Source organism: Homo sapiens, chromosome 1 (assembly GCF_000001405.40).
Source record: "Homo sapiens chromosome 1, GRCh38.p14 Primary Assembly".
In the NCBI taxonomy this organism is placed as follows: domain Eukaryota; kingdom Metazoa; phylum Chordata; class Mammalia; order Primates; family Hominidae; genus Homo; species Homo sapiens.
The window spans coordinates 87,613,435-87,637,735 of NC_000001.11; the positions used below are offsets into that span (position 1 = coordinate 87,613,435).

At 39.9% G+C, this 24,301-nt stretch overlaps 1 long non-coding RNA gene across 2 annotated transcripts, besides 1 other annotated feature; it reads right to left on the reverse strand.

The window, feature by feature from the left end:
- Positions 369 to 1,568: an enhancer, noted in NCBI's record as "CDK7 strongly-dependent group 2 enhancer chr1:88079486-88080685 (GRCh37/hg19 assembly coordinates)". NCBI's record gives its function as "activates an origin of replication core promoter dependent on BRD2, BRD4, P300/CBP, MED14 and CDK7 cofactors, with strong dependence on CDK7, by STARR-seq in HCT116 cells {active_cell/tissue: HCT116}" and the evidence as "EXISTENCE:reporter gene assay evidence [ECO:0000049][PMID:35650434]".
- Positions 7,369 to 17,015, reverse strand: LOC107985518 (uncharacterized). 2 transcript variants are annotated; one of them, XR_001737675.3, is made up of 3 exons: positions 14,030 to 14,241; positions 11,279 to 11,360; positions 7,369 to 8,773 (listed from the first exon to the last, which is right to left on the reverse strand). It is a non-coding gene; the product is annotated as an uncharacterized LOC107985518 (long non-coding RNA). The 2 variants fall into 2 exon arrangements; XR_001737676.1 differs by lacking the exon at positions 14,030 to 14,241 and adding an exon at positions 16,981 to 17,015 and having other exon boundaries at positions 8,639 to 8,773.
- Between the last annotated feature and the right edge of the window lie 7,286 nt (positions 17,016 to 24,301).

Sequence of the window (24,301 nt, forward strand, 5' to 3'; positions counted from 1 at the left end):
CTTTGGAAACTAGACTGTTTGACAAAGAATTTGCTAGTGATTGTTAGCAACAGGTAGATCACAACTGGCCTTGGGACACATGAAAATTGTACACATTGCACTCTGAATAGTAAATTACAATATATTTAGAAGACATATTTATAAGTTAACCCAGTTATGGTTAACAAACCATGAAGAAAATACATTTTATTTTTAGTTTCAAGATAGAAAAGAGGGTGGCAGGCTTTTGACTAGCATGCCTTAGGAAACAAGATGAGAAGCCAAAGTAAATCTTTCCATATTTGTATACATTTGAAAGAAGCAGGAGAATGTGAGCTCTCTTCAGGTTGACATCAAAAAGTGACTGTGAATGATTTATAATGCACGCAGAAAACATAGTTAACTTCTCAAAACCATTAGTTACCTTTATTTTGTCCTAGCTTAGAACCCTAGACAGGAAAACTCCATAATAAGCTTTTGGGGAGGGACAGATGTTGGCAATCATGCTTTCCAACAAGAGATTTCAGAGAAGTCACAAAACCAAAGAAACCATTTCCCTGGTTTCTTTCTGTTTGCTGGGCAAATATACAAAGCTTCTTGTCAATTTTACAGTCAATTATGGATACCAAACTGGAAAAAAAAAAAAAAGCAGTGAGACACAGGTGACACTTGAACAATTCTGAGAAGCACTCAGAAAAAGTAATGTCATTCATAGAGAAACTATGTGCTAAGCGCTGGTCAATTTTTTTTTCTGTCATCTATTTCTTCAGTTTCAGCAAACATTATGATGTCAATGAGAACTTACAAGTGCTGCTCCTTGGACAGGACTGGGATCTGAAGGAAGGAGTTTAGAGAGCTCGGTTCCTATTGGAGTGGCCCAGGCAAGTTGCTTCACTTCTCTGAACCTCAGTTGAGTCTAGAAAGTGTCTTCAATGCCCCAGTTCAGCTTAATATAGACCTTGGATTGTCATACTCTCTGCCTAGATTAAAAACATCTGAGGTAAGACATAGAAAGAAATAAAAAGTTTAACTCTTTGCCAGTTGAAGAAGAAAGGAAGGGAGGGAGGGAGGGAGGGAGGGAAGGAAGGAAGGAAGGAAGGAAGGCGGGAAGGAAGGAAGGAAAGAAAGAAAGGTGGGTTGCTAATTTATAGACTCCCTGGAGCTACACAGGGTACCTATTTTCCCAGCAATGATCCTAGCAAGGAAAGAGCAAAGAGACACTAGGGGCAGCTGAGCTCGCCTACCCTGCCTCTCACCTGAGCTCTCTCATTCTTATTTGGCAGGGAACCCTGAGGATCCATCTCCCATAACTGGACTTCAAAAAACTAACAGTCCTCAGAACAAGAATTACTGAAGAAAACAAAAACAAAAAAAATCCCCTAACAATCCAAGGCAAAGTCAGACAGGCCAAGTTCTGCTTCTTAACCCTTTGAATACTATGCATTTAAATACATGTATTTTCTCAAAGAAGAATGTTTGTTCACTGTAGCAGAGAAACATTCACCTCCACTGTTGTGTATAGATAGTGTTTTAATATGACTAAAATCTTTAGAAATTATTCTTTTATCTTTTTGTGATGTAGAAGTTTTTTGTTTGTTTTTTGAGACAGGGTCTCACCCTGTCACCCACACTGGAGTGTAGAGGCGCCATCTTGGCTCACTGCAACCTCTGCCTCCCGGCCTGAAGCTATCCTCCTGCCTCATCCTCCCGAGTAGCTGGGACTACAGGTGTGCGCAACCATGCCCAACTAATTTTGTAATTTTTTTTGTAGAGACAGGATTTCACCATTGTTGCCCAGGCTGATCTTGAACTTCCCAGCTTACATGATCCACCCACCAAAGCCTCCTAAAATGTTGGGATTACAGGCATGAGCCAACACACCCCATTTAGAAGTATTTTAAGTTTTAATTTTATTTATTTAAGAGACAGGGTCTTGCTCTGTTGCCCTGCCTGAAGTGCAGTGGGATGATCATAGCTCATTGTAACCTCGAACTCCTCGGCTCAAGTGATCCTCCTGCCTCAGCTTTCCTAATAGCTAGTGCTACAGGCGGGTGCCACCATACCCTGCTAATTGTTTTATTTTATTTTTTGAAAAGATAGGGTCTCGCTATGTTGCCCAAGCTTGTCTCAAACTCCTAGCCTCAAGTGGTTCTCCTGCCTTGGCCTCCCAAAGCATTGGGATTACAAGCATAAACCACTGCATCTGGCCAGAAGTTATTAAAAAAAAAAAATCTGACTAAACAGGGCTCACAGTTGAACAACTTTCAGTCATCTGGACTTGTCCCAAATAACATTCAGTCTTAGAAAAATAAGAGCAGAAAGATTTTAAGTCACTTGCTTAAGCACCCAAGCTGCTTCCTGTCAGAAGCCAGGGGCATCTTTTGCCCTGTTTGCGTGTGTGTTTGCTCTTTTTAAGGTGAGAGCAGCCATTAGGAAGTCTTTCCTCAAGCCAGTATTACATCAGGGCTGCAGTATAAATCAGGTAAACTCAACATGGTTTTTGGCAGAGTTTTTTTTTTTTTGCACCTAGGGAAAGAAGTGAAGGCCAGGATTTTTGTATAGTTCAACTCTTTGTGTTGTCCCCAGATACATCCTCCTTTCCTCCCTCCCTAGTAGCTAACTTTTCCATTTTGTAAAGCATGTGTTTCTTGGCAACAGACTCCTTTCCTGATTTAAGAGTTAGAGCATGCAACCCACGTCAGGCCAATGAATGCATTTTCTCTACCAACCTCAGTGAATCCAGAGGGGCCCTGTGACCAAAGCTGCTCCCATCAGAGGAATATCAGGACTCATTAGCAATACTGAAATAATGCTTTTTTCCTTCTTGGCTGTGAGAAGCACATAGCTCCAGGAAGTTGGTGCTGTCATTTGAGCACCACGGTAGGAGTCATCTTTAGGATGAAGTGATAGCCCGGAAGGCAGAGCAAAGAAAAAGAAAGAACTAGACACTTGGTGACAATGTTGGGTGGCTGGATCAAGCCTCATTTGATACTTCTGGATTTTTCACCTACAGAAGGCCTTATATCCCTTTTTATTGTTTAAATCATTTGGAATTGTGTTTTCTTTAAGTGCAGTTGAATGAATTCCAACTGAGAGAGGAATAATGGGAGAGCAGAGTGATTATAGGATAAAGGTGGGGCCTGGGAGCCAACTGTCGATTTAACATGAACCTGAGAGTAACCGGGCATATCTCCTCCACCCGGGGGCAGATATCCTAAACCCTTACTCTCAGAGATCAACACGGAGTCTCTGAAATCTTTACCCTCATAAAAATGAGGGTAAATATTTCTTTGTTTTTGTTATATTGAGATGATTAAATCTAATATTTTTGTGGGAAAGAGAGATACCTCAGTTCACTGGTGTGGTATGTCTGCACAAGTGCTGATGGAGAAGGCATGGTTAGCTGGCGAAAATATATGCCATTGGCCTCCTTCCTCACAGCATGAATGCGTGAAATCTCAACGGGCAGCAGAGAAGAAGTATAGAAGGCAACTGCCTTGGCCAGAGGTTTCAGGTCAACCACTCGGGGATCTGAATTACACTGCAGAGTTGAGTAGAAATTAGTGTGTGGAATAAAAATGTTTAAAAGTTATATTTAAAGATAAATAGTTATCTTAAAAACTCTCTGACTGGAGAGGTTTTTAAAAAGACAAGGGTTAAAACGTCACGGCCTGTGTCAGGTATCTAAAACAATGTCTTCTCCCCTTTTCTGAGGGAAGGGTCTGCCATGGTGATTTAAGCAGAGAGAAAGCAGGGACCTGTGGCCTGAGAGGAGCCTGAGAAATGACGGGGAGCATTCCTAGGGATGCAGAAATGCAGAACGCAATGCCTTCGTCGACGTCTCTGAAACCTGGTGGGATCGAGTTCATAACCAGTATGGGAGCAGTCCTACCAGGGCATTAGAATTCAAGAGAGCTAATTTGGGGGAATTAAAAAAAAAAATCTAGTGAGTATGGTATTGAAGTAGGGAATACTAAAGCCCAGGAGAAGGGCAGGCTGCTGGAATATCCACCATAATTAAAGCAGATTACAATTGCTCTGAGAAAAGAGGGACGCAAAGAGTTAGAATATCCAGTGCGCCCGTCGAGACTGATGGGACGGAGGCTCTGTAATGGCAGTGAGGAAATTGGGAGGGAACCCTACAGAAATTTTTCATAATACCTATTCTTTTTTTTTTTTAAAGAGGAAATGATAATTATGACAAAAACCAGAATGGAAAAGCTGAATAAAGTAGCTACGTGAAAGGAGAGGCATTTGTGTCTCATATGGGGGAGCAAAGCAAGCAAGGCCACTAATACAAATCAGAATATTTGCAGCAATAATCTGTTTTTAAACTCTTTTAAAATGAGCGGCAGGGAAAAAAAAGGAAACTTAGAAAAAAAATACTGACACCTCTGTTAAAGTCACAAAGCAGAAAAAAATAATTTTGAGCAGGTACACTGACATATTTGGAAATCAACAGATCTACATGACAGACACAGGGTAGCTGTTAAAGAAGACAGATGACAAATTTAGACCCAACAATTTTTTTCTCTCCCTTCGGAGTGGGAAAGGGAGTGTGGAGTTGAATCTGTTTGATACTTTTCCTTCCTTTTAATTCTATTTTTTTTAAAGGAACTACATCAGAAAGTTACCAGTACATTCTATAGTAATTAAAATAAAGTAAAGCAAAACAGACTCATTGAGCCATAAATGAAAACTGAGGAATGTTAACAAGCAAGCGGAAGTGTGATATGTGAAAAGAAGGTAGTGGCTATTAACAGGACTACAGAAATAAACCTGGAAAATATCCCTTGAAAAGCCTGACGATACCACTTTAATAAAATTAAAAATTGTCCGACTCTATTTGACACATCTGTGAGCATGACAGCAGCACCACTCACAGAAATAGCTGTACAGCAGATAGTCCTGGGCAGGTCCACCGGATGGCCTGTGAATTAAGTATATATGTCAATCAGCTGGCATCTCATATTTATGGAACATTCATGATGTGCAGAGCATTAGTTAACCCTTATGGGCAATTTCTACCTCCAAGAAGTATGAGGCTACTTGAAAACAAAGTAACACATGTATAAAAATAGTTACTAGCATAAAGCAGTATAGGCTTACTGCACATTAGGCTCAGGAGAACGCAGCACAGCTGGGACCTGAGTTTAGAATTCAGATACAGAAGACTACACAATTCTAGGCCAGAGTAGAAAGGCAGAATTATCCAACATTATTTTTTTAAAGGTGGAGTTAGGAGAGGGCAATTAAGTTTATCAGTCTACTTGGAGTAGAAGAATTCAAAAGTGGGAACTGAGATTTCACCAAAAATAAGAAATTAATTGAGAATGGATTATAAACCTGAAAGTGAAATGCAAAATAATAAAACATCTAGAAGAAAACATAAGAAAACATTGACATATTGCCATGATCTTGGGGAAAGATTTTTTAAACAAGATACAATAAAGCACTAAACATAAAACATACATTAATTGAACTACATTAAAATTAAGAACTTCTCAATCAAAAGCAGCCATTAAGACAGTAAAAAAGCAAGCCATAGACTGAGAGAATGTATTTGCTATCTAGCTACATATCTACACATATACATGTCATATATATACACATGTATTAACACGTCATATATATACACATATCTACATATCTACACATATACATGTCATATATATACACATGTATTTTTATATATGTACATGTATTTGGAAATGTATGTAAAATATCTGGCAAATAACTTATATATAGAATATATAAAAAGCTTCCATTAAAAAAAAGAAAAAGAAAGTTGCCAAATTAAAAAAAAATGGGCAAAAGACTTGAACAAGTACTTCATAAAAAATGACATCCAAGTGGCTAATAAGCATGGGAAAAGGTGATCAATGCAATTAGCAGAAAAATGAAAATTAAAATCATAATGAGATGTTACTACACACCTACTGATATGGGAGGTGGGCAGGGAAGTGCTGGGTAGAAAGAGGCAGTTCCCTGGCTAGGGCTCCACTCCCATGGACCTAGGTGAGGACAGGCACTCCTGCTTTCACACCCAAATGTTGCATTTTCCAAGACCATCCTGGCCTACCACACCCCTATCCTATGTCTATAAAAACCCGAGACCTGGCCGGGCGCGGTGACTCATGCCTGTAATCCCAGCACTTTGGGAGGCCAAGGCAGGTGGATCACGAGGTCAAGAGATTGAGACCATCCTGGCCAACATGGTGAAACCCCGTTTCTACTAAAAATTAGTGGGGCATGGTGGTGCGGCCTGTGATCCCAGCTACTTGGGAGGCTGAGGGGGGAGAATTGCTTGAACCTGGGAGACGGAGGTTGCAGTGAGCCGAGATCCTGCCACTGCACTCCAGCCTGGCGACAGAGCGAGACTCCATCAAAAAACAAACAAACAAACAAAAAAAAACCTGAGCCCCTAGCAGGCAGACACACAGGCAGCCACAGGGCAAGAGGAGTACATCAGTGGAAGAAGACACAAGCAGCTCGTTGGCGAGAGGATGATGTAGGAGCACACTGGCAGAAGAGCACGCCACAGGTGCCAGGCGCAGGCAGGCCATCGACTGACGGGAGGAGGCGGAGTTTGGCCTGAGCAATCGGAGGAGAGCCTGGGCACTGAGCAGTGCAACTCCAGGGAAAAGACCATCTCCCTTCTGTCTCCCCCATCAGCAAGGATTATTTCCACTCAATTAAACTTTGCACTCATTCTCCAAGCCCATGTGTGATACGATTCTTCCAGTACACCAAGGCAGGAACCCAGGATATAGAAAGCCCTCTGTCCTTGAGACGAGGTAATGGGTCTAATTGAGCTGGTTAACACAAGCTGCCTATAGATGGCAAACTAAGAGAGTACCCTGTAACACATGCCCACTGGGCTTCACCTGTAAACATTCACCCCTAGACATTGCTGCCAGGTTGGAGCCCCACAGCCTCCCTGTCTGTATGCTCCGCTAGAGGTCTGAGTAGCAGGGCACTGAAGAAGCAAGCCACACCCCCATCACATGCCCTGCAAGGGGGACAAGGGAACCTTTCCTGTTTCACTACCAGAATGGTGAAAATTGAAAGGACTTACAATACCAAGTGTTGGCAAAGATGTGGAACAAATGGAATTCTATGTATTACTTGCTGGTTGGAGTAAAAATTTCTTAAACTCCTTTGGAAACTATTTGGTAGCTTCTATAAAGCCAAACATTTATACACTCTACCAGAAATTCTACTTCTAGGAATACACCCAACAGAAATGAGTGCTTATGTTCACACACACACACACACACAATGTGTACAGAAATATTCATAGCAGTTTTTTTATAGTGCCCCCCAAAGAGGAAACCATTTGTTCATAAATTAAAAAATATAAGTAAATTATGATATATACAAAAGATAGAGCACTGTGAGTATTGAAAAAGAACAGCTCTACATAATGGTATCTTATTATGCCCAGTGAATAACGGAAGCCAGGCATAAGGGTACATGTTGCATAACTGCATTCATATGAAATTGAAAACAGGAAAAACCAATCCATGTTGATTATGGTTAGAATAGTGGTCACCTTTGGGAGTATAGTCTGAAAGGGGAATGAGAGCTTTCTGGGGGATTGGTAATGTTGCGTAACTTGGATTCAGTAATGGTTTCTTGGGTGACTGCATATGTAAAACATTTACTAATCTTTACACTTAAGATTTGTCCCCTTAATTGTATGTAATTCACACCTCAATTTAAATGGAGGTATCAGAAAAAACAATTGAAGAGGACATTAAAAGAGAAAAAATATAAATATTTATTCTTTCTTACCTCCCTTCAGGATTTAGGAGTCAGATTATGGAGAGTATCTAATCACAGGATGAGGAAGCTGATTCTGTTTTGTTGGCAATAATAAGCTGTTGCAAACTTTTTGGGCAAAGTTGATATTTTAGGAAGATTAACTTTATATACAAATATGGAGAAAATATTGGAAAAGAGAGAGAATGAAAGGGAACAAAGAAAGTCATTAAGAAGCAGTTATCGGCCGGGCGTGGTGGCTCACACCTGTAATCCCAGCACCTTGGGTGGATCATGAGGTCAGGAGTTTGAGACCAGCCTGGCCAATATGGTGAAACCTGTCTCTGCTAAAAATACAAAAAATTAACCAAGCGTGGTGGTGGGTGCCTATAGTCCCAGCTACTCGGGAGGCTGAGGCAGGAGAATGGCATGAACCCGGGAGGCGGAGCTTGCAGTGAGCTGAGATCACGCCACTGCATTCCAGCCTGGGTGACAGAGTGAGACTCCATCTAAAAAACAAACAAACAAACAAACAAAAAACCCCACAAAAATTAGCCGGGTGTGATGGCGTGCGCCTGAAGTCCAGCTACTTGGGAGGCTGAGGCAGAAGAACCGCTTGAACCCCGGAGGCAGAGGTTGCAGTGAGCCGACATCACACTACTGCACTCCAGCCTGGGCAACAGAGCAAGACTCTGTCTCAAGAAAAAAAAAAAAAAGAAGCCATTATGAAAATCCAGCAAGAGTGCAATCATGTGTACACTGTACAGGAAACAGTCTGTTTTCCCAGCTTAGGGTACAATAATAAATGAATTTTAATTTTTCAATAGATCAATTGAGATCCCATTTACATGTATTTTTAGGAATTGTAGTATTTCACTTTTGAGGTTCACCGATTCTGAATTGTCCAGGAACTCTGAGGAATTGCACTGTTCAAAGGACGGCAGAACTGTATCACACTTCAGCCGCTAAGCGTCGCTGCTGAAGACTGGTTCTGCACTTGCAGGGATGCAGTGGGGCATGCATGCCTTCCCTGGGGAAGCAAAGTAATAAATTTTTAATTCAGTTTCATTTGGTTAAGCCATTTTTTCTTCAAACCTCAACACTGTTCCATGGTGGCTGGATCCAGATGCGCTTCCGGACTCAGGCATAGGTTGTGCTGGAATCAGTTCTCCAATCCAACCCTTAGGTGATTGTGTTGAGTTCAAGTCATGGACCAGGCCCTGTACCCACTGGTAGGTATTTCTTTAGGGGCTTTTGAGACCTCTCCTGTCAGTAGACCTTGGACAGAGCAACTGCAGTTGGACATGACAGCTACCTATCAACTTGAATGTTAGAGAACCTGAGAGCTTTGATCTCCTTATAAAAATTGCTTAACTCTGCTTCCAGAACTTTCTATACTTAAGGACCTCACATGGTACCATCTTTGCACTATCTTTTTCAAGCCACTCTACAGTTTTGCTATGGGCCTTTCCCTATGGTAATACATCTTCACCTTCCTCCTCACACGTTGTTAACAAGAGGGGTCCATTCAGGTGAAGCCTATCATAATGATAAAAATCGGCCCCAAGGCTGGGTGTGGTGGCTTATGCCTGTAATCCCAGCACTTCGGGAGGCCAAAGCGGGCAGATCACCTGAGGTTGGGAGTTTGACACCAGCCTGACCAACATGGAGAAACCCTGTCTCTACTAAAAATACAAAATTAGCTGGGCATGGTGGCGCATGCCTGTAATCCCAGCTACTCAGGAGGCTAAGGCAGGAGAATCGCTTGAACCTGGGAGGCGGAGGTTGCGGTGAGCCGAGATCGTGCCATTGCACTCCAGCCTGGGCAACAAGAATGAAATTCCGTCTCAAAAAGAAAAAAAAAAAAATCTGCCCCAAAGCTATTTGATGTTTTCATTCGTGGGCAGAGAAACAGCTGAAATCATTTCTAAAATTACACCTTATCAGGTAAGTAGAGCATTATATAAATAGCCTTTGCTAAAAAAAAAAAGATAAAAAATTTAAAAAATGGAAAATCAAACAACCTAAGTTCATTTGCATCTATTTAGTATATGATGATTAAAAATTCTTATGCATCATATGCTAAAACAATAGCCGGCCTATTTTCTATAAAGAAAAATTAAACTAGAATTTATGACTATTTAAAGGGGCTAAAATAAAAATGAAATAAGCAATTAAATTAACATGTGTAGATGGTTTAGTGGGATAAAAAGTAGACTTGGGGCCGGGCGCGGTTGTTCATGCCTGTAATCCCAGCACTTTGGGAGGCCGAGGAGGGCGGATCACAAGGTCAGGAGATCCAGACCATCCTGGCTAACATAGTGAAACCGTGTCTCTACTAAAAATACAAAAAAATTAGCCAGGCGTGGTGGCAGGCGCCTGTAATCCCAGCTACTCGGGAGGCTGAAGCAGGAGAATGGCATGAATCCGGGAGGCAGAGCTTGCAGTGAGCCGAGACAGGCCACTGCACTCAAGCCTGGGCGACAGAGCAAGACTCCGTCCCCCCCCAAAAAAATATAAAGAAATAAAATAAAATAAATTTAAAAATAAAAAATGAAAGGAGACTTGGAACTCGAAAAACTGAGTTCAAATCATGTTTCTGCTATTTATTAGCTGTGTGAGCTTATTAGTTTATTAATTTCTCTGAGCCTGTTTTAAAACATGAAAAGTAAAACATCTTCAAAAAGTTGGTGTGAGACCATTATGAAGGCATCTAGCACACAGCTAGTCCAATAGGAAAACGTCAGTGAGTAATTTTTTTTTTTTTTTTTGAGACAGAGTCTTGCTCTGTCGCCCAGGCTGGAGTGCAGCGGCACAATCTCGGCTCACTGCACCCTCTACCCGCCCCCCCTCCCCACCCCCCGGCCTCTCCCCCAGGCTCAAGTGATTCTTCTGCCTCAGCCTCCTGAATAGCTGGGATTACAGACATGCGCCATCACGCCCGGCTAACTTTTGTATTTTCATCAGAGACAGGGTTTCGCCATGTTGGCCAGGCTGGTCTTGAACTCCTGATCTCAGATCTGCCCGCTTTGGCCTCCCAAAGTGCTGGGAATATAGGCGTGAGCCACCGCGCCCGGCCAGTCAGTGTTTCTAAACTAAAACCTGACGGGGGGTGGGAGAGGAAGTTTTTTAACAGATGGGTTTCAAGGTGAGTAGTAAATCCTTATTTGTTTATTCATTTGCCTTCATTAGTAATTTGGAAAATGAAGCAAACCAGATAAAAGTGACAGTAAATTGCGAAGTAAATTGTGGGATAAATTGTAAGGTATAGTTTTAAAAGAACATAAAATGCTTGAAATAGGTGGTCATTTTCTTAGGCCTATCATAGGTAAATTTGATGAGGTGGAAGAAAATGCCTCAGAAACTATTCGAAACAAACCTATAGTCCTTGGAACTCAGTGTAGGAGTCAGAAATCTGTATATCTTAAAAGGCTGGGCTACCATATTTGCATCCACTTCAACACTATAAGGAAAAGGAAAACACAGACTGGATTCAGAGTAGAACCATTCCAAATGGTTAATGGAAAGAATTTACCATGAAGAGATTAGCGTCTGTGCAATTGTGTTGAATGATGGCAGGGGTCTCGGTTTGGTATTTGGCAAAGGTCTTCAAGTGTCTGGGATGAGGAAAAAGAAAATTAACTGAGGACAGGAATAAAATTAACCTGGTAGAAAATAGCATTATTAAGAAAAAAGAACTAAACTTTGGCTATGTAACACTTAGGCTGGATTATAGGGAACAAAAACGACCTTTCTGACAGTGGGAACCTCATTTAGGAGTAAAATAACATTAAATGGAAAAATAACCCATGAAAAGGTGAATAATTGTCATCTCCCAGAAGATTTTGAAATTATTTTCTGCCAAATGGAAATTGGGAAGTCTTCTTATCTATGAAGCTGACTCCCTGCTGTACTCTATCTCGGCCAATGCTTTAACCCTACTGGGATCTCCGATCCATCGATCCATCTTTTTAGTGTCCCTTTACTCTTGGTGACCTGACTTCCTTCACTTTCTAGCTTAAATTCCAACTTCAGTTCCTATAATCATTCCCTGGCTTATGGATCTACCTCTCTTGCCCATCTCTAGTATCTCTCCTATAGTCAAAGTGACCTTTTTTAAAACTTAAGTGAGGAAAGTCAATTCCTTGCTCAAATATTCTAGTAGTTCCCCCATTGGCTTTTAGAAATATATATAAAAATGTCAGTAGCTACAACACAGAATGCTAAACTTGGTATTTTCACATTAACTTAGCATCCTCACATGGGAGTGAGTGCTCTCCTCTTAGGAGTTTTCTAGCAGAGGCAAATAAAAAATTTCTTTAGAGGAAGGCACCTTCACTTTGGAGTTTTGTTATTTCCATAGATGAAATCACATAAATATGAGCCCATAATTTACTAAAAAAACCCTCCAAACATACAAGGAAACAAACCACCATGAATGGACATCAGTTGAAACAACAAAGATCCAGACTCACAAAGACTTCATATATTAACTTGGTACACATAAAATATAAAATAAATACACATATAATGTTTAAGAAAATAAGAGGGCATAAAAGTAAGTAACTTTCCAAGAAACCTTAAAAAAATCCTTGAAAGTTTTGGGAGGGGGGAGAAAGCCCAAACTGAATATGTATGGATAAAAATATTGCAATTAGAAACAGATACTAATGGAGATAAAATGTATAAACTGAAAGGTAGATCTGAATAAATTATAAAGAATGCCACCCAGAGAGCTTTGTCACCCAGAGAGACAAGAAGATAGAAAATAGGAAGGAGAATGTAAGAGTCATTGAATACAAAATGAGGAGTTCTAACAGACATCTAGTAAGAGTTATAAAGAAAAACAGGGCGATTAAGAGGGTTGTAATAACCGGAGTCTACAGCTCAGAATTTCCTGAAACTGACAAAATAGAAGAATCCACAGACAAAACAAACACAATTTTGCCAAGCCACTATAACTAAGACATCCACAACTAGACACATTACAGTGTATCTGCAGATCACTGGAGACAAAGAGAAAACATCTTAGCAGCAGCCAGACAGAAAAGGTGACTTGCAAAGCAATGACAATTTTACCCACAACAGACTTTGCATCAGTGATAATGGACACAACAAAAAATAGGAAAAAAAAAAATCCGTGTGTTGAAAGATAATCCACCTAGAATTGTGTACCTAACAAAATATCTTTTAAAAAATGAGGAGAAGCCAGGCGCGGTGGCTCACGCCTGTAATCCCAGCACTTTGGGAGGCCGAGGTGGGCAGATCACAAGGTCAGGAGATCAAGACCATCCTGGCTAACATGGTGAAACCCCATCTCTACTAAAAATACAAAAAAAAAATTAGCTGGCCATGGTGGCAGGCACCTGTAGTCACAGCTACTCTGGAGGCTGAGGCAGGAGAATGGCGTGAACCTGGGAGGCGGAGTTTGCAGTGAGCTGAGATCCAGCCGATGCACTTCTGCCTGGGCAACAGAGTGAGACTCTGTCTTAAAAAAAAAAAAAAAAAGAGGAGCACATACAAAATTTTTAGGATACACAAAAGTTTTTTAATCATATGTATAACTTAGCTAATCTTCATTAAAGGAACTTCTGACTAAGGGACTTAAAAATGAATGGTTGCAATGTGAAGTATAAAGATATACGAACGGCTTATTAAACTCAGAGATACTTAAAAAATTATGCTGTCTATATAAAATAATTTTAAAATAAGGTTTAATTTACAGAGCTTAAAAAAGATGGGATTAAAATGCTGGGCAATACTAGCCTATAAATTAGGAGTGGGGTGGGTCATAGTAAAAGAGTTCTAAGACCTTCCTATTATTCAGGATAAGACATTACTAAAACTTACACTTTTGGTAAGTTAGCATACATAGTGAAAATTTCAAGAGTGACCTCTAAATTATAGAAATAGAATGCATAACATTGAAACCAGTAAAAGGTATAATGTAATATTATAACAAATTCTCAATTACAAGAAACAAGGAAAAAAGCAAGAAAGAGACAGAATGGTAGAAACAAATATAAAAGTATCATTACTTATAAAAAATAAAAATAGACAATATGTGCACATTAAATCAGAGTTTGTCATATTGGATAAAGATACAATCCAGTGATATACTGTTACAAGAGACACAACCAAAGTTGAAAGACATAGAAAGGTTTAAATTAAAAGCATGAAAAAATAATAGGCAAATGCTAACCACAATAAACATGGGGTGACTGTATTAAACCAAACAAAATAGGCTTTAAGATAAAAAAGAAGCATTCCTGGGAGGATTACTTACATAATTATAATAATTTCAATTCACCAGGAATATATAACTATTCCAAGTGTGAGCTGACTAGTAAAATAGCCCTAAAAACATGAAAAGGAATAATTATAGAGTTATAAGGGGGAAAGTACAAAATCACAGTTGCAGCAGCAGATTGTAACAGGCTTAACAATTTAACTCCCTTAATTATTGATAAATCAATAGACAACACATTAGTAAAGATATAGAAGAATTTAGCTCTGTTTTTAGCAAGTAAAATAAAATGGACTTCTGTAGAATCACCTCAAAATAGACAATACATATTATATTCAAACACATATGTGATCCTTATAAATTTACCACCATATTAATACATACAGCGAGTCACAACAAATTTCTAAGAATTGGTATTACATAGATCATATTGTTTAACTGGAGTGCAATTAAATTAGAGGCCAATAATAAAGATAAATGAAAATTCCGACATTTTTAAAAATTAAAAACACCTCTAAATTACTCATGGATCAAAGCAAACATCATAATGAAAATATAAAACTTATAACTAAGTGATGATAACATTACCTATCAAAACTTATGTGATGTGGTTGAAAACAGGCTGTGAAGGCCATTTATAGCCTAAAATGGTTACATTAGAAAAGAAGAAAGGCTAAAAAAAAATGAATGAGTTAAGTATCATACTGAATAATCTAGACCAGTTGTTTTCAAATGTTTGCCTGAAGACCATGTGATACTCTTAAAAATTATCAAGGGCCCCAGCTGGACATGGTGGTTCATGCCTGTAATCCCAGGACTTTGGGAGGCCGATACGGGCAGATCATGAGGTCAAGAGTTCGAGACCATCCTGGCCAACATGGTGAAACCCAGTCTCTAATAAAAATACAAAAATTAGCCAGGCATGGTGGTGCGTGCCTATAATCCTAGCTACTTGAGAGGCTGAGGCAGGAGAATTGCTTGAACCTGGGAGGTGGAGGTTGCAGTAAGCCGAGATCAAACCATTGCACTCCAGCTCTGGGGGACAAAGCAAGACTCTGTCTTGGGGAAAAAAAAAATTATCAAGGGCACCAAAGAGCTTTTATTTATGTGAGTTATAACTGTCATACAGAGGTAGAACTTTAAAATTTAAGACATTTATTGATTCATTTAAAAATAATAACAAACCTATTTTATGTTAACCGTATGTTTTAATAAAAATATTCTCCCAAACGAATTTAGTGATAAGCATATAATTATTTTACATTATTGCAAATTTCTTTAATGTCTACCTTAATAGAAGAGAATTGGATTCTCATATCTGCTTCTACATCTAATGTCGTATAATATGTTAGTTTGGTTGAAGTATATGAAGAATACCTGGCCTCACACAGACATGTACTGGGAAAGGGAGAGTATTTTCATAGCCTTTTCATATAATTGTGAATATTATTCTTTGATACTATATCAAATCTCCACTAATGGTAATCTCTTAAAGGTTAATTGCAATGTGGAATCTGAAACCACATCAATGAATGTTTCATAATCTGTTACATTAAGATCTATGGGTATGTCTTGCACTTTGAATGAATCTTTTACCCATGCATAATTTTGTAATATCATTTATTGATCATCTAAAAATATTCATACACCAAGTAACACAGATCTCCTGAATGTTTACATATTTCATTGTATTATATGGAAAAACACTTGTTAATTTCACCACCGATTTCATCAAAATGGCGTTTAAGCATTGGGAAGCTGTTAAACTCACAGTGACAGATATTCTAATTTTTATGTGAAAGCTCAAATTTTAACACTTGTAATAAGTATTTTCAACGTTTTCCTTGAAGTGACAGTCTCATTTCATTCATTTTTGAGAAAATGCCTGACAAATACCCAAAGCTAGGTACTCGTAGTTTGCCTAGTTCTTTCAAGTAAAAATGCTGTCCTGTGATGAAAATGGCTAGTTCAGCTTGCAACTCCAACAATCATGTAAGTTCTTTTTTTTGAGAAAGGCATCATACTTTAAAATACAGCAGAATTGCTTTATGTGTAAATTCCAGTTCATTAGACAGCATACTAAGAAAATATGTAATCAAGGATCAAGTTTTAATAAAATTAAATAGTTTTTACTGTTTCATTAAAGAAATTCCTAAGTGAACTGACATACATTTTTATAGTGAGGGTGCAGTGATGGAAATACCATCACTGCCTTGATTTGTGCTAAAGTGCCAGTGATTTTATCCACCCTAGTTTTTGCACTGCAGTTCAATGTAACATGGTAAGAAAGTAACATCCTAGCATTGTAATGAAAATAGTTTTGATTTTACTTCCTAAAAAGTTCCTAGGGACCCCTCAGAAGTTTATAGACCACGTATTGAGAATCCAAGAGTCAGTAAACTGGCTCAAGCCAAGAGTCAAATCTTGCTCCTGTTTTTGTAAATAAAGTTTTATTGGAACACACCATGCCCATTCATGTACATTTTGTCTATGGTTGCTTTCATGCTACAATGGCATGAGCCTATTACTTGTAACAGACACTGTATGGTCCACAAAGCCTAAAATATTGACTACTTGGTCCTTCACAGAAAAGTGTGCCAATGTCTGAATTAGGCTGTATCAACAGAATAAATCCAACAAATGTACTTGAAGGAGACAATGAAGATCAGAAGTTAATGTAAAAAGAAAATGGCATGTGATAGAAAGGATGAATAAAGACAAATGCTAGTTCTTCAAGAAGACTAATGAAATACAAAAATCTCTGACAAGATTGACTAAAAAAAGTTAAAGGATACTTATAAGCAATAATTATAATCATAAAAGGGGGCTAAAAACATGTCAAAGATTTACAACATAAGAGAAAAATATAAAAAATTTTATGCTATTTTTAAACTAAACACAGAAATGATAAATATCAAGAAAAATCTGAATTACAAAATCGGACAAAAAAATAAACAATTATTCATTGCACATTTAGTTAAAAATCTTACCTTGAAAAAACTAGGGACCAATGGTTTCAGGCAAGTTCTGTAGAATATTCAAAGGATGGATTATTTCAATCTTATAAATTTTTCTAGAAAACAGAATAAAAGGAATATATAATGCTAGTATTTAATCTAATTTAAAAAATAGGTAAGGACAAAATAACAAAGGTAAATTACAGTCTAGTTCCACTTATGAGTTTGACTATCCTAAACAAAGTATTAGAAAACTGCATATACTAGTATATAAGAAAGAATAATTCAGCATGACCAAGTTTAGTTTATCCAAGTAATTCAAAGAAAGTTTAGAAACTTGATCAATATAATTACTCCAGTAATAGATCAAAGGTGAACAACCAATATTAATTTTTTTAATAGATGCAGAAAAAGCACTTGGTAAAATTCAACACTCATGATTTAAAATGCCAACAAAACCCTTAGCGATCAGGAAAAAGGAAAAGTTGCCCACTATTACCAGTTCTATTCCACATTCTATTTCACATTCCACATAGCCAGTGCAATAATCCCTTCCCCTTACAAAAGTTAGCAAAATTAAGAACTGACATTATTCTCAATTTATTATTTTCTACATAGGAAATATAAAATAATCTTATGGAGATATTTGGAATTAATATCAGAGTTTGGCAAGATTGCTGAATATACAAGCAATATAGCATTACAATCGATACATAAAAATAAATTACTATGTACACCTTGACAACAAAACAGAAAACATACTTTCTCTCTCTCTGTCTCTCTCTCTCTATATGTATATATATGTATTTATATACCTTATAATTTCAACTGAAAATATAAGATGCCTAGGAATAAGAATAAGAAAAAAGAAAAATTTCAAGACCTATTTGGGAAAAATTTAAAAACTTTATTGAAAGATCTAATAAGTGAGAAGTAAACCATGATCCTGGACAGAAAATCTCAGTAATGTAAGAATTTCGATTATTTCCAATTTTAACTATAGATTGATTCCATTACATTACATCGAACAAAATTCCAAAAAGAACTTGATAATGTATAAATTGTGAAATTTACATGTAAGAACAAAGGCCCAAGAATTTTTAAGACCCTTCTGTCCGGGCGTGGTGGCTCATGCTTCTAATCCCAGCACTTCGGGAGAATGAGGCAGGTGGATCACTTGAGGTCAGACGTTTGAAACCAGCCTGGTCAACATGACAAAACCCCGTCTCTACTAAAAATACAAATATTATCAGGGCATGGTGGCACACACCTGTGGTCCCAGCTATTTGGGAGTCTGAGGCAGGAGAATCACTTGAACCCAGGAGGTGGAGGTTGCAGTGAGCCGAGATCGCACCACTGCACTCCAGACTGGTGACAGAGCAAGACTCCATCTCAAAAACAAAACAAAACAAAAAACAGACCCTTCTGAGGAATAATAAGCTAAAGGATTTTGTTCGTTCATATGTCAAGATGTATTATAAATACATAGTTTCTCAGATAATATATTGGCATGGGGATAATGAAGTTGATCAATGCAACAGAATAGGGAACTTACAGGGGAATCTGACAGTTGGCCTGCCATAAATTATGATGATGACCAGGTTTCCTAGCAGCTCACTGGGAAGTATGGATCACACAGTAAACGGTATTTATATTACTAATTATCCACATGGACAAAAATGAAATTGAATCTGTTTTATTCACAAAAACAAATTCCAGATGTATAAAAATGAAACTAGTAAAGACATAACTATAAAACTTTTAGAAGAATGTATATATATATTCAAGAAAATATAAAAATTTTGTTGCTACAAAAACAAGATTTGTGAGCTTACAATTGCTCATCAAAAAGCACCATAACAAGAGTAAAAGGATAACAAACTAGAAGATATTTGTAATATATATACTATGGGCTGAATTATGTCCGCCCCCAAATTCATATGTGGCAGGCTTAACCTCCAATGTGATGGTATTTGGGGATGAGCCCTTTGGGAAGTAATTAGGGTTAGCTGAGGTCATGAGGGTGGGACACTCATATGGGATTAGTGCCTTCATGAGAAGAGACAGCAGACAGATGGCTCTGTCTACCATAGCAGAGGCAGCTGTTTGCAAGTCAAGAAAAGAACCCTCACTGGAAACCGACCATGCTGGCATCCTGATCTTAGACTTCGAGCTTCTAGAACTTTGAGAAATAAATTTTCTGTTGTTTAAGTCACCCAGTTTATGGCATTTTATTATGGTAGCCTGAGCTGACTAAGACAACATATAACCAACAAAGTATTAATATCCTGTATTCATAAAGAACTCTTGCAAAGTAAACAAGAAAAAAAAAACCCTTCCAAACTGAAAAATGGATAAAGTATTTGAACAGGCATATCACAGAAGAGGAAATACATTTGAGAAATATAGAGAAAATGCTCAGGCCAGGCACAGTGGCTCACGCCTGTAATCCCAGCACTTTGAGAGGCCGAGGCGGGTGGATCACTTGAGATTAGGAGTTCGAGACCAGCCCGTCTCTACTAAAAATACAAAAATTAGCTGGGTGTGGTGGCATGCATCTGTAATCCCAGCTACTTGGGAGGCTGAGGCAGGAGAATTGCAACCCAGGAGGCAGAGGTTGCAGTGAGTCAAGATCACACCATTGCACTCCAGCCTGGGCAACAAGAGCAAAACTCCATCTGGAAAAAAAAAGAAAAAGAAAAAGGAAAGAAAAATGCTCAAAATCATTAGTAATCAGGGAAATGCAAATTATGACCATGATGAAATAGAATTCATATACACTAGATTGGCAAAAACTAAGAAGTCTGGTAATAGCAACTAAAAGTAAGGATGTGGGAAAATAGACATATTTTGCTATCCAGACTAAAAATTGGCATGACCACTTTAGGAAACCACATTGTAAAATCAAACATTCTTATACCTGAGGCTCTGGCAACTCTTCACCTAGATAAGGTATTCCTTACAGCAGAAGTTTAACAGTGGTGAAATGATGTGTCGAGAAGCCACAGTGTGCTGTTTGGTCTGCTGAGTAGAGCTGGGAGCAGCTGCAGTTCAGATTAATGCAGGTCTGACAGTGCCATAATGTGAAATAGACTGGAAAGCTTCACCTGAGTGAATTCCTGGCATATGTACAGGAGGAGATCTTTAAAGGATATGCATAGCAGCTCACTGGGAAAAGGAGGATTAAATAAAAATGGTGGTATAGTCATAGAATGGAATATTATATAGCACAGAAAATGTGAAATGGGAAAATTTCCCTTTTCCCCCTTGCAGGGCATGCCATGTGGGTGTGGCTCACTTCTTCAGTGCCGCCCTGCTGAAACCTCTAGGGCAGCATACAGATGGGCAGGCTGTGGGGCTCCAACCCCATGGCAGTGTCTAGGGGTCAATGTTTACAGCTTCTGAGGCCCCTGTGGGCATGTGGTACAGGGTGCTGTTTTAGTTTGCCCTCTATAGGTGGCTTGTATTAACCAGCTCAATTAGACCCTCTATCTTGTCTCAAGGATAGAGGCCTTTCTGTATCCTGGGTTCTTGCCTTGGTGTGTCGGAAGAATCAGATCACACATGGGCTTGGAGAATGAATGTAAGGTTTTATTGAGTGGTGGTAGCTCCGGGGAAGTGAGAAGAGGATGGAGAAGGTTTTTCCCTGGAGTTGGGCACTCAGAGGCCTGGGCTTTCCTCAGACTGCCCCAGCCAAACTCCATGTCATTCTACTTCTGCCAGTCGGTGGTCTGCCAGCGTGTGGGTGCCTGTCTGTGGGTTCCTCTAAATGTCCAGCCGCCGTGTGTTCTTCCGCTGATGTGCTCCTCTCCACATCCAGCTGCCTGTGTGTCTGCCTGCTAGGGTCTGGGGAATGGGTGGGGGGAGGGGTGTTTATAGGCACAGGATGGAGGGTGTGGCAGGCCAGGGTGGTCTTGGGAAACCCACCACTTGGGCAGGAAAATAAAAATGCCTGTCTTCACCTAGGTCCATGGGGTGGAGCCCTCGCCAGGGACCACGCCCTCCTCTACTCAGCACTTCTCTGTCCCACTTCTGTATCATTTAAAGAGACCATGCCCTTCTCTACCCAGCACTTCTGTATCACATCGATGAATTCTAGCTACACTGATGAATTGTCAAATGTACTTCAGTGATAAAATCAAGTTGCAAAAAAGATGCACGCCAGTACCATTTTTACAAAAGTCATTACAAATCAAAGCAAAGAACAATTTTGTTTAGGGATATGTATATGTAATAAAAGAGATAAGAAGAAATAAAGACATAATGTAAAATTTAGGCTCCTGGTTACCTCTAGAGAGAAGCGGTGGCTAGGATTGGATGGGGCAGAACCTATGCAGTTAGTAATATTCTTTCTTGTTCTTAAGTTGGTGGTGGGTTTACTTTATTACTGTGCTTTAAAACTTATATATATTTGTGTGTGTGTGTGTGAATATAGAATCTTTTAAATACATTAATATTACATAAGAATGGTTTGGCCGGGTGCAGTGGCTCACGCCTGTAATCCCAGCACTTTGGGAGGCTGAGGCGGGCGGATCACGAGTCAGGAGATTGAGACCAACCTGGCTAACACGGTGAAACCCCATCTCTACTAAAAATGCAAAAAAAAAAAAAAATTAGCCGGGCGTGGTGGTGGGTGCCTGTAGTCCCAGCTATTCGGGAGGCTGAGGCAGGAGAATGGTGTGAATCCAGGAGGTGGAGCTTGCAGTGAGCCAAGATCGCGCCACTGCACTCCAGCCTGGGCGACAGAGCGAGACTCCATCTCAAAAAAAAAAACAAAAAAAAAGAATAAAATGTTAGAGCCAGAATGGACTAAAACATATGATAGATGCACTAAATGTTTGCTGAGAAAAGAAAAAGATAAGATGGGACCATAAATATCAAGTCCACGGCTTTTGACTGTTTTTGATTTCAGGTCACAGTAAGAAGTACATTTCATATTGTGTCCGGAATTGGTGGGTTCTTGATCTCACTGACTTCAAGAATGATGTCATGGACCCTCGCGGTGAGCGTTACAGTTCTTAAACATGGTGTGTCCGGAGTTTGTTCCTTCTGATGTCCCGACGTGTTCGGAGTTTCTTTCTTCTGGTGGATTTGTGGTCTTGCTGGCTTCAGGAGTGAAGCTGCAGACCTTTGCAGTGAGTGTTACAGCTCATAAAAGCACTGCAGACCCAAAGAGTGAACAGCAACAAGATTTATTGCAAAGAGTGAAAGAACAAAGACTCCACAGTGTGGAAGGGGACCCTAGTAGGTTGCCACTGCTGGCTTGGGCAGCCTGCTTTTATTCCCTTATCTGGCCCCACCCACATCCTGCTGATTGGTCCATTTTGCAGAGAGCTGATTGGTCTGTTTTACAGAGAACTGATTGGTCTGTTTTGACAGGGTGCTGATTGGTGTGTTTACAATCCCTGAGCTAGAGGCAAATGTTCTCCAAGTCTCCACTAGATTAGCCAGACACAGAGCACTGATTGGTGCATTTACAAACCTTGAGCTAGACACAGGGTGCTGATTGGTGTGTTTACAAACCTTGAGCTAGACACAGAGTGCTGATTGGTGTATTTACAATCCTTTAGCTAGACATAAAGATTCTGCAAGTCCCCACTAGATCAGCTAGACACAGAGCACTGATTGGTGCATTTACAAACCTTGTGGTAGACACACTGTGCTGATTGGTGTGTTTACAAACCTTGAGCTAGACACAGGGTGCTGATTGGTGTATTAAAAATCCCTTAGCTAGACATAAAGGTTCTCCAAGTCCCCACTAGACGCAGGACCCCAGCTGGCTTCACCTAGTGGATCCCGCACCAGGGCCACAGGTGGAGCTGCCTGCCAGTCCCGTGCCATGCGTCCACACGCCTCAGCCCTTGGGCGGTCAATGAGACCAGGCGCTGCGGAGCAGGGGGTGGTACTCGTCCAGGAGGCTCGGGCTGTGCAGGAGTCCATGGCTGGGGGGAAGCTTGGGCATGGTGGGCTGCAGGTCCCAAGCCCTGCCCTGTGGGGTGGCAGCTGAGGCCTGGCAAGAATTCGAGCACAGCGCCAGCAGGCCGGCAATGCTGTGGGATCCGGCGCACCTTGCGCTGCTGCTGGCCTGGGTGCTAAGCCCCTCACTGCCTGGGGCCAGTGCAATTGCCAGCCCGTCCAAGTGCGGGGCCCGCCGAGCCCATGCCCACCCGGAACTTGCACCAGCCCACGAGCGCTGCATGCAGCCTTGGTTCCTGCCCGCGCCTCTCCCTCCACACCTCCTCACAAGCAGAGGGAGCTGGCTCTGGCCTCGGTCAGCCCAGAGAGGGGCTCCCACAGTGCAGCGGAGGGCTGGAGGGCTCCTCAAGCATGGCCAGATTGGGTACCAAGGCCAAGGAGGTGCCGAGAGTGAGCGAGGGCTGCAAGGGCTGCCAGCACGCTGTCATCTCTCAATATTATGCCCCACTAAACACACACACACATAGAGTACATAACTGAAACAAAAGTTATACAAAACAGAACCCACCCTTTCTACATGCAATTAACTCTGATGGTTTCTATTCTAATTTATTCTACTATATGTTTTTTAAATTGATAGTTGTTACCTACTATAATAGATTAATCTCATGACCCTCAGAAAGGCCATGCCATGCTTTGAAAAACACTGAACTGATTTATCACTCGTATTTTACAGATGAGGCAACTGAGCCTCCAGCAGGGTTACAGAGACAATGATTTTGAAAAGTGGTATATGTTCATGTGTCTAGAATAAACTAACATGATGCTAGTTTTAAATGTACCCTGATCATTGACATAAGTTTACATATTGTATCTTTGTTTCCTCTTCTCATATACCCACAGCCCGACATTTGTCAAGTATGTCACTGTCTCATGAGATCAGATTAATCCAGTGGAATTTATTCTGAATAAGCCATGCTAAGCACTAGCTAGTATCTTCTCCTTGTTTGCAAATCAATCTCTTGAATGGCTTTCCAATTTTTTTTTCAGGTATTAAAGTTAAATCTACAGAGCTATCTTTTTAAAAAACAATGTTGTGATAAAACAACCAGCAATACAAAGCAGTCCCTGGATCTGTGACTTTACACATTTATTTCATTACTTAAGCTGGAATTGAAAAATGCTTTGAAGTCCAAACACAAGTTTGTGTTTGCATTCTCTGATGAAGCCCATAACATACTGGCAAAACATCAGTTAAAAGAAAAAAAGTCTTAAGCTCAATTTTTATGTATTTATTTTTTACTTCCTATACACATCTTCACAGATCTGTGTCTAGATGGTTAACCGGTCATCATCCTTTCTAAAGAATATCCAAAATACATTATTCCATGCTTAGTTTCAAAGGTGATTTTTAGTTTAAATTTATACGTGAATTCAA